Here is a 13,252-nt window from a genome sequence, read left to right as displayed (position 1 = left end):
TTTTCAACTTCTTTGCATTTGGTTTGAATGTCCTCCCATAGCTCAGAGTAATTTGATCGTCTGAAGCCTTCTTCTCTCAGCTCGTCAAAGTCATTCTCCATCCAGCTTTGTTCCGTTGCTGGTGAGGAACTGCGTTCCTTTGGAGGAGGAGAGGCGCTCTGTGTTTTAGAGTTTCCAGTTTTTCTGTTCTGTTTTTTCCCCATCTTTGTGGTTTTATCTACTTTTGGTCTTTGATGATGGTGATGTACAGATGGGTTTTCGGTGTGGATGTCCTTTCTGTTTGTTAGTTTTCCTTCTAACAGACAGGACCCTCAGCTGCAGGTCTGTTGGAATACCCTGCCATGTGAGGTGTCAGTGTGCCCCTGCTGGGGGGTGCCTCCCAGTTAGGCTGCTCGGGGGTCAGGGGTCAGGGACCCACTTGAGGCAGTCTGCCTGTTCTCAGATCTCCAGCTGCGTGCTGGGAGAACCACTGCTCTCTTCAAAGCTGTCAGACAGGGACATTTCAGTCTGCAGAGGTTACTGCTGTCTTTTTGTTTGTCTGTGCCCTGCCCCCAGAGGTGGAGCCTACAGAGGCAGGCAGGCCTCCTTGAGCTATGGTGGGCTCCACCCAGTTCGAGCTTCCTGGCTGCTTCGTTTACCTAAGCAAGCCTGGGCAATGGCGGGCGCCCCTCCCCCAGCCTCGCTGCCGCCTTGCAGTTTGATCTCAGACTGCTGTGCTAGCAATCAGCGAGACTCCGTGGGCGTAGGACCCTCCGAGCCAGGTGTGGGATATAGTCTCGTGGTGCGCAGTTTTTTAAGCCGGTCTGAAAAGCGCAATATTCGGGTGGGAGTGACCCGATTTTCCAGATGCTGTCTGTCACCCCTTTCTTTGACTCGGAAAGGGAACTCCCTGACCCCTTGCGCTTCCCAGGTGAGGCAATGCCTCGCCCTGCTTGGGCTCGCGCACGGTGCGTGCACCCACTGGCCTGTGCCCACTGTCTGGCACTCCCTAGTGAGATGAACCCGGTACCTCAGATGGAAATGCAGAAATCACCCGTCTTCTGCGTCGCTCACGCTGGGAGCTGTAGACCGGAGCTGTTCCTATTCGGCCATCTTGGCTCCTCCTCCGACACATTTCTAATAAGGTCTGAATTCTGTTATGAACCGTTTAGTATTCCTTGCAATTCTTGGGCCACTAAATAATTCCCCCTTTCTTGCTATCTGGAGATACATACTCTTGGTTATGAGGCATTCCAGAGGAGAAAACAGATGGATCAGCTGAAATCCATCGTTATTACAGGAAAAAAACCCCAAGTGCACAACTCTAAGTATGTGTTCTCCTACGGAGAGACTAGACAAAAGCCACCACATTAGTTAAAAATTGTGCATTAACTACTTTTTAAATTAGAGGATGAAGAACTCTTTTTAGAGTCATTTCTGAGTATTTATGGGTTTTTTTCTTTGATGACAGTGTTAATTAACAGAAACTAACTAATGGAATTAACTGACCCTATTTCTATAGCCACATCCTCTGTTAGGAATCTGAGTGCTAGTTCAGTGACTCCAGACAATAACTCTAGCCCTTATATATTCTGATTAAAGGTGCAGTCATAACTATCAGCTCTTTTGAGAGATTTTGAGGAACAATCTGAGGCTAAGTTGTAATATTTGTGAGTGAGGCCTGGGGAAAATGTACTGTAATGAGACCTAAAGTTTAAAACCCAAGCTGAGGGTGTAATAGTTTAAATACAGGATGAAGTCAGTTCAAGGGACTAATGCAATGACGTGGGACAGAAGAAACTTCTTGGGGGCAGCATCAGGTGGGATTAGAATAATTAAATAGGGAGCTGTATGTATATGCTGTTGAGATGTTTAACAGATGGAGCCTGAGGAGCAGGACCAATACTACCAACAAAGACCAATACCAAGGGAAAGGGATACAGGGGTTAGTTAAGTAGGCTGGCCCCTCCAACTCTATCTGCTCCTCAGTCTGCTGATTCTGGCAACTGTAATTCTGGATGAGGCTCTCAACACCTTGAGGAACCAAAGGTACCAGACAGGCAGGTGAGAGCTCCATTTAGATATACTGGCTACACCTGGTAGGGGGTTAGATCGGGAGGCTATAGGCCTCCCTATAGGCTGATGTTCATGAGAACAATTAATATTTATGTCCAATACAAAATATAGCAGGTTTGGAAGCAGCAGAATCTTCTAGGGCATCATGTTTCACTACATAAGGCTGTTATTGATCTGTGGAGTCTGTGTAGCTATTGACAGAGATGTTAGATTTTACTAAAGGTAGCTGGGGACAGTAATGAATGATACCACCCAGAGTCCCAGATATTCCAATTGTATTAGGTTAAAAACTAAAAGTACAACTTCCTCTTTTGAATCCATTCTAATTTTAAAGTACCTTCTGATACCAAGTACTTTGCATTTTCCAGATGAGGAAACATAAGCTTACAGGGATTAAATATATGGCCTTAATCATCCTCTCATGCTAATAAATGGCAAATTGGATTTGAATACAAGTTGGTCTGATCCCAAAGCCTGTATATATTCTGTTTCCTCATTCTGATATGTAGCTTTCCTTCTTCAGGGAGACCTAGTTCTTTGGACATGCGTGAAAAACTAGAAATCTAGGTAGAAAGGTTATCAGCATACCAGGCATCAGTAACCCCGATGGCATCTTCATCTGGCTCCAAATATCTGAGGTCTGTTCCCTACATTAATAGTTTTTTTTGTTGTTGTTGTTTGTTTTTTGACAACGGAGTCTCGTTCTGTCGCCAGGCTGGAGTGCAGTGACAGGATCTCGGCTCGGCTCACTGCAACCTCTGCCTCCCGAGTTCAAGTGATTGTCCTGCCTCAGCCTCCCAAGTAGCTGGGACTAAAGGCACATGCCACCATGCTCAGCTAATTTTTGTATTTTTAGTAGAGACGGGGTTTCACCATGTGGGCCGGGATGGTCTCGATCTGTTGACCTCGTGATCCATCCGCCTCGGCCTTCCAAAGTGCTGGGATTACAGGCGTGAGCCGCCACTCCTGGCCCATTAATAGTCTTTTAGCGTCAGCATCCACTGCTGTTTGGTGTGTGCAGCCTGTAAACCTCAGAACATCCCTGGAGCCCTTTCCTTTCACGGCCTCCAGAGGGCAGCCTGCCGCAACGGTGCTCCCGATCCCCCTAGTGGTCACTAGGAAGCTCCAACCTTCACTCGGAGATCAACGTTCCCAGGAACATTCTCAAAGCCCCGCGGATGTTGCCCAGGGAAGCAAGGGTGTGTGACACCACCTAGAGTCGCCTTCATAGCTTCCCTTTAGGTGCTCCTGGGGAATGTCCATTAGCACCACCCCAACTCAAGATGACTTCTCAAACCTGCCAGTTGTACAGTGTTGGATACTACAGGGTAGATTCTGTCACTAAATTTCAGGAAGAATATAACAGGTATCTAGAGGATGTGGCAGCAAGTCCAAACTTTATTTTTGTACGTCCCTCAAAATGCACAGGGTGGCTTATTTAAATTATCTCCCAGAAGCAGCTCTGGATGTCTTATATTTCCCCAAGGTAAATATTTAAATAACTCTTGTAACAATCTTAAGTTACGTGGGATACTGTATTTGTAATTTTTCTGGGATCTATTTTTTTGTTCTATTTATACGGTATATTTAAATAACATTGGCAAACCCTATGCAGTCTAATGCAGGAATGCTATCAGCTTTTTTCGTGATTTAATATAATCATGATGACATATTACAGCAGTTATTTCCTTGTTATTCATATTTTTTTATTTTATTAATTATTATTTTTTTTGAAACGGAGTCTCACTCTGTCTCCCAGGCTGGAGTGCAGTGGCGTGATATCAGTTCACTGCAGCCTCTGCCTCCAGGGTTCAAGTGATTCTCCTGCCTCAGCCTCCCGAGTAGCCGAGATTACAGGCAGCCGCCACCATGCCTGGCTAATTTTTGTATTTTTAGTAGAGATGAGGTTTCACCATGTTGGCTAGTCTGCTCTCGAACTCCTGACCTCGGGTGATCCACCCACTTCAGCATCCCAAAGTGCTGGGATTATAGGCATGAGCCACTGTGCCCGGCCCCTTGTTATTAATTTAAATAACAACTGTAGATTAATTATTTTAAAATATAAATATGTGGCATCTGTATTGAAATATACAAATATTTTAACATGTATATTTTGGTTATTAAATATAGATACCAAGTATATATCTATTTCATAGCCTCTACTGGAGTTTATCAATATTGTTTTATTATTATATTTAAAATAGAGCAACATATTTTAAAAATAGTTGTTGCCTTAAAATAATTGCAATAGAAAAGACTTTGTCAATATGTCTTTATGGGAAAAGATCCAGATTTTAATAAAATAGGAAATAACCCTTTCATCAGACATATTCTATTGAACACCACTTAATTATAAACAAATCAAAGCAAATTTGATTTGTTGAGAAAATACTTACAGGGTAACTCAGTACAGTGTCAAGTGCTGTATAAAATGAAAATAGGAATATGACATGATTTCTATCCCCAAAGTTCTGGGGGATGAGTAAAGGCAAGTTCCTAAATAACTTTTAATGAAGACTTAACAGTTGAAATCCCATTATCTCAGCAAAACAAAAGCAAACTAACAATCTAATAAAAATGAGAAAATTACCAATTTAAATAATGTTGACAATACTGCCCATCATTCCTTTTAATGATTGCCTGGAGTGAGCATGACAATGGAGATGCGAACCTGTGGTTTCCTCAGTTTGTCTCTGTTCTGAAGTGCAAGTATATCCACTGAGCTGAGTGATTCTAGTTTTTAAAGATATACATATATGCATTTTTCATGTAAAGTGTACCCTAAAAGCAAGCCAACTACTTCACCTGGTGCTCAACCAAAGAAACAGGAATCTGTTCCAATGCTGGAGGAAAAACTGGCTGTGCCAAACCAACTTGCGGTCTCCAGGGGAGTGCCTGTCGAAGGACTTTTCCAGGGTAATTTTGATTATGTATGATTTTCTCGTTTCTGATTTTAGAATCTAAGAGGTTTGACTCTATTGTAAGATAAGTATTACCAGAGAAATACAAGCAGCTTAGAGGGGTTTGGTTGCCAGGTTAGGTAGTTTGACTTTAGTTTGCTATATGGTAGGAGGCTGCTAAAGGTTACTGAATAAGAAATGTCATAATACTGGGTTTTAGAATATTTATTTGGCAGTAATATCCTGGACAGACTGGATGGTGGAAAAACCAGAGGCAAAGAGGCAATTAAGAAGCCATTATAATATAATTGTAGGCGTGAAGAAGAGGGGATGATTATCAGACCTAGGGTGGAGATAGAAAAAGTTAACCATTCTAACTGACTAGAGTAGATTAAAAACAGAGGTTTTTAGTTTGGGTGACCATGAGATTGGTGGCTTCTTTAACCAGAATTAGAGAAATCAGGAGAATAACTGGTTTTGGTTAGGAAGATGAGTGTGATTTTTGTTGGAGTGTGAGGTGACTGACTGTAAGGCATCCAGGTGGAGATGCCTTTAGCAATGGGTTGGAACTGCAGGAAAGAATTCTCAAAATGTTAGGTTTTGAGGTACATTCTGTTTAGGAATGGCTCTTGAAATCATGAGAATAGACACTTGGCTAATAAAAGTCAGCCTTGTAGAAAGAAGGGAGGGAAAGTGCAAGTGTAGGTTCTTGGGGATTACTGGCCTTTGGAGCCTGGAGGAAGAAAAGAAGCCACTAAGTGACCAAAGAAAGAACATTCAGGAAAACTATTCAGGGCAAGAATATATTAAAAAGAGAGGTGTCATTGTGTTGCTAAAAGTTCAAGAATTATATGAAAAATAATGAACTAATTTTGGAGGTAGAAAGTAAAAGAACTTAATAGGAGAGTAAGATAAGAGATATTATTTTAAAGTGGACAGGAGTTAGATAATTTCAGGGAGAAGAGATAGCAAATGGTTTGAAACGTTACTGAAATTCCAAGGAGGGATGGAAACTGAGTTTAGAGAGCTGGGCATTTAAACCTGAGCTTAGGATATATGGCATATTAAGTAGTTTTTTTCTGGATTATAAACTTGTGCGAGACTAACACATGTGTAAAAATCATACACATTTAGTTACGTAGTTCATTCTGAATATGGTGAAAATAATAAAAGGATAGGAAATTGGGATTTTCTCATAAATGACAGGGATTTTAAACTTGTGCGAGACTAACACATGTGTAAAAATCATACACATTTAGTTACGTAGTTCATTCTGAATATGGTGAAAATAATAAAAGGATAGGAAATTGGGATTTTCTCATAAATGACTATGCAAATAGTCATTTGGTAACCTCCTAAGAGAGTGTGGGCTGAAGTCAGGTTCAATCCAAGATGTGATTTGGAGTTAAAAAAATATAGACTTTGCTTTCGAGAAGTTTAGTGATAAGAGCAAGGAGAGAGAAGGGTGTGGTTACAAGGCAGGAAAGACCTGGAAGATGGCTTAGACTAGCCTGATGGTCTCATTGCACCATCTGGATAATTTTTTAGTGAATCTTTTGTGTATTTTTTCAGCCTTTTTCTTTGCATGTGTTATTTTGAAATCACTTAATATGATACACATTTTGTAAATGTCCAGCTTAAGAAATGGAAAAGTGTCATACAGCATTTAATGCCATGTGAATATAGAAATATACAGAAACTACTTTTAATGCATAATCTGAGTGAAGAGTTTCCACAAGGGTTTAAATCAAATAAGATGGTTTCCATAACTCCTAAATAACTTCTAAAGTATCTTTAAGGTTACTGCTGCCTATGAAATACTGTGATTCTCCCTCCATACTCTAGACCCAGAAGTCTTTGAATTAGCGGAGTGGAAGATGTGGACCCTTCTATGGCAGAATATTTCTCATTATAGGATGATACTGCAGTACCACGCCTATCCTTTCCCGAGTGCCAACACTTTTTCTGTGAGAAAAGACTTTCTTACCTGAGTGATTTTTTCCTATTGGGTGCATTCAAGTATTTACAATACTTATTGGTAAAACAGAATTAGCTATAGCTTTTAGAGCATATTAGATTTAGCGAGACAAGAAACATAATCATTACCCTTTAGGAATCAAGGTAGCACAAAATGTGAGGAAAATGTTTTGGAAATATTTGCTTCAAACTAATCAGCTAATGTTAACAAAGCATTCTATTCTGAGAAGAGGAATTACAAATATAATAGTAGTACCTACCGCATGACAGTTTTTTAGAGTTAAAATTCATAACATCCATATCTCACAAGGCCTGGAGATAGAGCAGGTATAATCTTTTCATTGCCATATCCAGAAAATGTCTCATTTTTCTTCATCTTTCAAAATCCCTAGCTCATGGAGGCCCAGAATGTGGGACTTTCAGTGTTAAAACCAAGAAAGTTATCTGTAAATTGGGAAGAGTTGGAATATCTATTTGGAGCAAAGCCGCTGGACTATGCTTATCCTTCCATCCTGTAGTAATCTACAAAGCTCCTCATTTGGTGAAGATGTTAACACCTGACTTCTTTCTTTCTTTCCATGACTACCTTTGGTATATATACATATATATATAAAGTACATTCAATGGATTTTGTTTTAAGTCTCTTGACCTTTTCTTTTCTTTATTTCTTTTTTTTTTTTTTTTTTGATGGGGTCTCACTCTGTTGCCCAGGCTGGAGTGCAGTGGTGTGACCTTGGCTCACTGACACCCCCGTCTCCCAGGTTCAAGTGATTCTCCTGCCTCAGCCTCCCAAGTAGCTGGGATTACAGGTGTGGGCCACCATGCCTGTCTAATTTTTTGTATTTTTAGTAGGGGTGGGGTTTTACCATTTGGCCAGGTTGGTCTCGAACTTCTGACCTCAGGTGATGGGCCCGCCTTGGCCTCCCAGATTTTTGGGATTACAGGGGTGAGCCACCACGCATGGCCTTGTGACCTTTTCCATTACAATCTTTTCATGCCTCATCTCACCCCCTGACCTTAGCTGCCAATCATCATGGTAAAACTTTATACTATGTTGTTGTGAATAACTGTACCATACTCAAAATCTCATCTTCTAACATCCAGTCACCAAACACCCCTTCTTCTGTTTTCAGCTAACTGCCTCTATGACAATTGTGGACTACTCTGGGGCTTCTAATCCATTGACTATTACAATTTTTAGTTTCCACTACCCTCTTTTATCCTCACTTCCTCCTTGTCCAGCTTAGATTCCATTGTTTAATTACTTGTAAATGCCCTCAGCTTTTTTGCCTCACTCTCTGCCTTACTCAAATGGCAGAACATCAATACTGGTTAATCCCAAGCACTCACAGAAATGTCACATAGTTTAGTGATTAAGGTTGTGGGTTCTGGACCCACGCTCCTTGAATCCTGAGTCGAACATTTACTAGCCATGTGGCTTGAGTAAGTTTCTTCACTGCTCTGTGCCTCAGTTTCCTCATGTATACCTATCTAATGGAGTTGTTGCGGGCTCAAACGTATTAATATAAAGTAATATAAAAATGAAGTGTTTAGAATAGTGCTTGGCACTTAATAAACATTTAATAAATGTTTACCAAGCTTGCAGTTCATGGTTGGAGAGGAACATCTAACTTAGCTGAGGGATCTCTCTTAATTTTCATGACTGTGTCTCAAGTGGGCCCTTAGTGCCTCTCTGCAGTTGTCAACCACAGTTTCCATTTTCTCACTGAATTATTTTTTCCCTGTCTGAGGTTACTATGTTACACTTTTTCTTATCAAATTTCCAACTTGTATTCCTTGTTCTTCACTCTCTGCTGATGACTTTGCTTCTTATCTTGCTGAGCAAACAGAAGCAATCAGAAGATAATGATATTTTCCCACCACCTAGTCTCTCACATCTGAATATTTCTATTACAGAGGAAGGGTCTCTGTCCCCATGTTAAAAACAATCCCTTTACTTGTGCACTGGATTCCATCTCTTTTCACCTTCTCAAGAATTTGCTGACATAATTATCTCTGTTCTGTCTTGCATAATCACTATATCTCTCTTCTCCCTGCTGTAATGTGCTGTAATATTGATCAAGGGAGAATAGAACCCTCGTTCGCTTTTATGTCCCCTATAGCTACCGATTTATTGACCACCCTTTACAGCCAACCTTAATGTCTCCACGGTCTCAGCCCATATCCTCATGACAAATCGAATCAGGCTTCCACCTTGATGGGATTCACCTTTGAATCTTTAAATATTGACTTTTAAGTAACAGAATGTTCCAGAGCTCAGTCCTTGGCTCTCTTGGGTTTGCTGAAATGACTGGAATTACTAAAATCAGGAGAAGTTAATTTCATAGGTTTAATAAGAGGCAATTAGAACTGTTGAGAAAAAGGGAAAAAGCATTATTTATAAGAAGGGGGAAAACATTTATGATCATTTTTATGCCAAATACTACTTTATATCAGATAATTTAATGCAAGCAATTCACTTATGATAAATTCAGTTCCACAGTATTTTGGGGACTGGCAGTGGTGGAAAGGAGATGGAGAGACTCAAAGAAAAAGAAGAAGAGGTCATGACAACATGGTTCTGAAACTGGTCAGGTTATTATCCTAATTTAAATATGGAAAATCAAGAGCTAAATCAATACAAGAACTAGAACCAGAATTCTTGGTGGTTCCAGGTCTTCTGTTAAGTTATTTGCCTCCCATATTGATATACAGTAAAGAATAAAGTGCGGCTAAATTATACATTTAAAAGGTATTCAAGTGGAAAATTGCTGGAAAGGGTAATAAAATAACAACCACAAAAATACAATTTTCCTTGGCATTTTCAACTTAATTACCTCAGAGCTGCTCAGATTTTCAGCCAGTCATTACTAGGATTTTTGCATTGGTACAATTAGATTTTCTTCTTGGAAACCCATTTTTGATGAAGAACAAACTGGAATATAGATGGATCATTATGTTTTATTATTAAAATTTCAAAGCTTACACTTTGAGAAAACTCATGATATTAAAATACCATAATAAAGTCGCTTAACCACCTTAGAGGTTTTTCTATATAACATCATGATTTGAGCATACTTTGTCTATTTAGATTTGAGTTTTGGTGAATATTGTAAAGGTTAGAAGTTTGGATATGCAGTTTATACTAAACCACTCTAAAAATATAGTGCTAATAATGATAGCTACTTTATTTTGAGCAACTACATACAATTAACTATTTATATCGGCTATAACTTTTATCCCTTACAATGACTTGATGAAGTGGTTTTATCATCCTTCACAGGAAGAAACCAAGATTCAAAGATATTTAATAATTTTTCCTTGGAAATTAGAAACATGCTCACATTCCTCTTACCTCCAAAGGAAAAGGAAAAGGAAACCGTTAAGTGTCAGATACTACTCCTGGATCTTTTGTGTAACTATCTTGTTTAATCCAAAGTAGGAGCTAAGAAATAGATTGTAATACAAGCTTTATAAGAAGCACTTTGTATTCCATGAGTACAAGTCTGAATGGCATTTTAAATTAGAGAGACTTGCAGTATGTTATAGTGACTTCCCCCATTTCAGCATCGCATTTTGTATGTGATACTTGAATCCTTGACCCTACAGAGAACTAAAAGAATTATTTCACATCAAGCTTTTTCCTCTTATCTAGTGACTGCTGAAACATTTCTTCTTTCCAAACCAGTTTATAAAACTGTTGGTCCTCACCTAAAAATAGAGTTGCTGTGAATTAGATTCTTGATCTGTATACATATGGCACAATCATATGAAATAGTTTTTTCCTGGCATACATTTCCTTTTTCAGCATTTAAGCACACAGCAAGTATAGGACATTTTGAACTTTTTATTTAACATTGATTTCTTTAGAGAGCTTTACATCCATTTGTTGTTTAAAAGTTGGTATTTTTGTTTCTTTTTGCAGCCAAACACTTTGATAATATTTTGAGGTAAATGCCTGAAGATGTCCAAAAAAAGTAAAAGTCATAACAGAAATTGGATTTCAAATGGTTCTTTGTTAAGAAATGACTTATAACAAATTCTCTCTCTGTGTTTGCTACTAACTATTCCACAATCAAGTGTTAATGTTTTAGGTAAAAAATAAAGTCAAGGGAGGGGTGTGAGTGGGAGCTAACGGTTGAGAGAGGGCCGAGCATGGTGACTCATACCTGTAATCCCAGCACTTTGGGAGGTCGAGGCAGGGGGATCACTTGAGGTCAGGAGTTCGACAACAGCCTGGCCAACATGGTGAAAGCCTGTCTCTACTAAAAATACAAAAAATAGCCAGGCGTGGTGGTGCGTGCCTGTAATCACAGCTACTCGGGAGGCTGAAGCAGGAGAATCACTTGAACCTGGGAGGCGGAGTTTGCGGCGAGCCAAAATCGCACCATTGCACTCCAGCCTGGGCAACAGAGTAAGGCCCTGTCTCAAAAGACAAACAAACAAACAAACAAGCAAGTTGAGAGGTCAGAAGCAAAGAGGAGAGAATTGAAAACAAATGCACCACACTGGGAGATTTAAGTCATCTTTGTGGGAAATTTTAATTTTTCTCCCTTTATTCTTTTTTGTTCTCTACCATGTTAGCAAGCTGCCTCTTTAGATTTTTATTTAAAGAAAGATTTTTTTTTAGAAAAAAAATCACACCAAGTTTCCACCTACAAATAAAAACATAGATATAAGATGGAGATAATTTTTCTTTTATCTGTTGCCCTTGTTTGATCAGGATATTTTATAAAAATAGATCCAGGACTGAAAAACTGCAAAACGAGAGCTTTGTAAGTGACAACCTTAGAAATAAATCAGTAACCCTGTTGTTCAGTGCTGGTCTGCTACATCTATGATTCTTATTCATGAACTTATTATTTTGGCTAAACACTACTGTAAGATATAATTGATTCAATTCAACAAACGTGTTGCTTGCTGAATTTCAGGTGGTTGGGATTAAGTATAGGGATGAATAAGACAGTTTTGGTTTTTTTTTACGTGTGGATATCATTTATTTTAGCATTTTTTTTGTTATACTTTAAGTTTTAGGGTACATGTGCACAACGTGCAGGCTTGTCACGCATGTATACATGTGCCATGTTGGTGTGCTGCACCCATCAACTTGTCATTTACATTAGGTATATCTCCCAATGCTATCCCTCCCCCATCCCCCCACCCCACAACAGTCCCCAGAGTGTGATGTTCCCCTTCCTGTGTCCAGGTGTTCTCATTGTTCAATTCCCACCTATGAGTGAGAACATGCAGTGTTTCGTTTTTTGTCCTTGCGATAGTTTGCTGAGAATGATGGTTTCAGCTTCATCCATGTCCCTACAAAGGACATGAACTCATCATTTTTCATGGCTGCATAGTATTCCATGGTGTATATGTGCCACATTTTCTTAATCCAGTCTATCATTGTTGGACATTTGGGTTGGTTCCAAGTCTTTGCTATTGTGAATAGTGCCACAATAAACATACGTGTGCACGTGACTTTATAGCAGCATGATTTATAATCCTTTGGGTATATACCCAGTAATGGGATGGCTGGGTCAAATGGTATTTCTAGTTCTAGATCCCTGAGGAATCGCCACACTGACTTCCACAATGCTTGAACTAGTTTACAGTCCTACCAACAGTGTAAAAGTGTTCCTATTTCTCCACCTCCTCTCCAGCACCTGTTGCTTCCTGTCTTTTTAATGATTGCCATTCTAACTGGTGTGAGATGGTATCTCATTGTGGTTTTGATTTGTATTTCTCTGATGGCCAGTGATGATGAGCATTTTTTCATGTGTCTTTTGGCTGCATAAATGTCTTCTTTTGAGAAGTGTCTGTTCATATCCTTCGCTGATAGTTTTGATTTCTCTTAGGAGAAGTAAATGGGTAAATAATTATTAATATTTATTCACAAGGAGTTTTATATTAGGTTATGAACCAAACGTTGTGGGAGCACAGAAGGAGAGGATGTTTAATTCTACCAAAGGGTCATTCTGTAATCTGTGCTTTTTTTAGTTCATATGGGATGCATAGTTGTCTGGAGAGTACTTTGAGAAATATGTTGGGCACTATTTACAATAGCAAAGTCATGGAATGAACCTAAATGCCCATCAATGGTAGACTGGATAATGAAAATGTGGTACATATACCCCATGGAATACTACTCAGCCATAAAAATGAATGAGATCATGTCCTTTGCAGCAACATGGATGGAGCTAGAGGCCATTATCCTAATTGAACTATTGCAGGAGCAGAAAATCAAATATCATATATTCTCACTGATAAGCGGGGACTAAACATTGAGTACACATGGACACAAAGAAGGAAATGACAGACATTAG

At 39.4% G+C, this 13,252-nt stretch overlaps 1 annotated feature.

Moving 5' to 3' along the window:
* Positions 3,218-3,417: an enhancer, noted in NCBI's record as "active region_6224". NCBI's record gives its function as "activates an Ori minimal core promoter by ATAC-STARR-seq in GM12878 lymphoblastoid cells {active_cell/tissue: GM12878}" and the evidence as "EXISTENCE:reporter gene assay evidence [ECO:0000049][PMID:35858748]".

The sequence above is a fragment of the Homo sapiens genome, chromosome 12 (assembly GCF_000001405.40).
Source record: "Homo sapiens chromosome 12, GRCh38.p14 Primary Assembly".
NCBI lineage: Eukaryota > Metazoa > Chordata > Mammalia > Primates > Hominidae > Homo > Homo sapiens.
The sequence above is the reverse complement of the archived record's forward strand: the minus strand, read 5'-3'. Positions and strand labels throughout refer to the sequence as shown.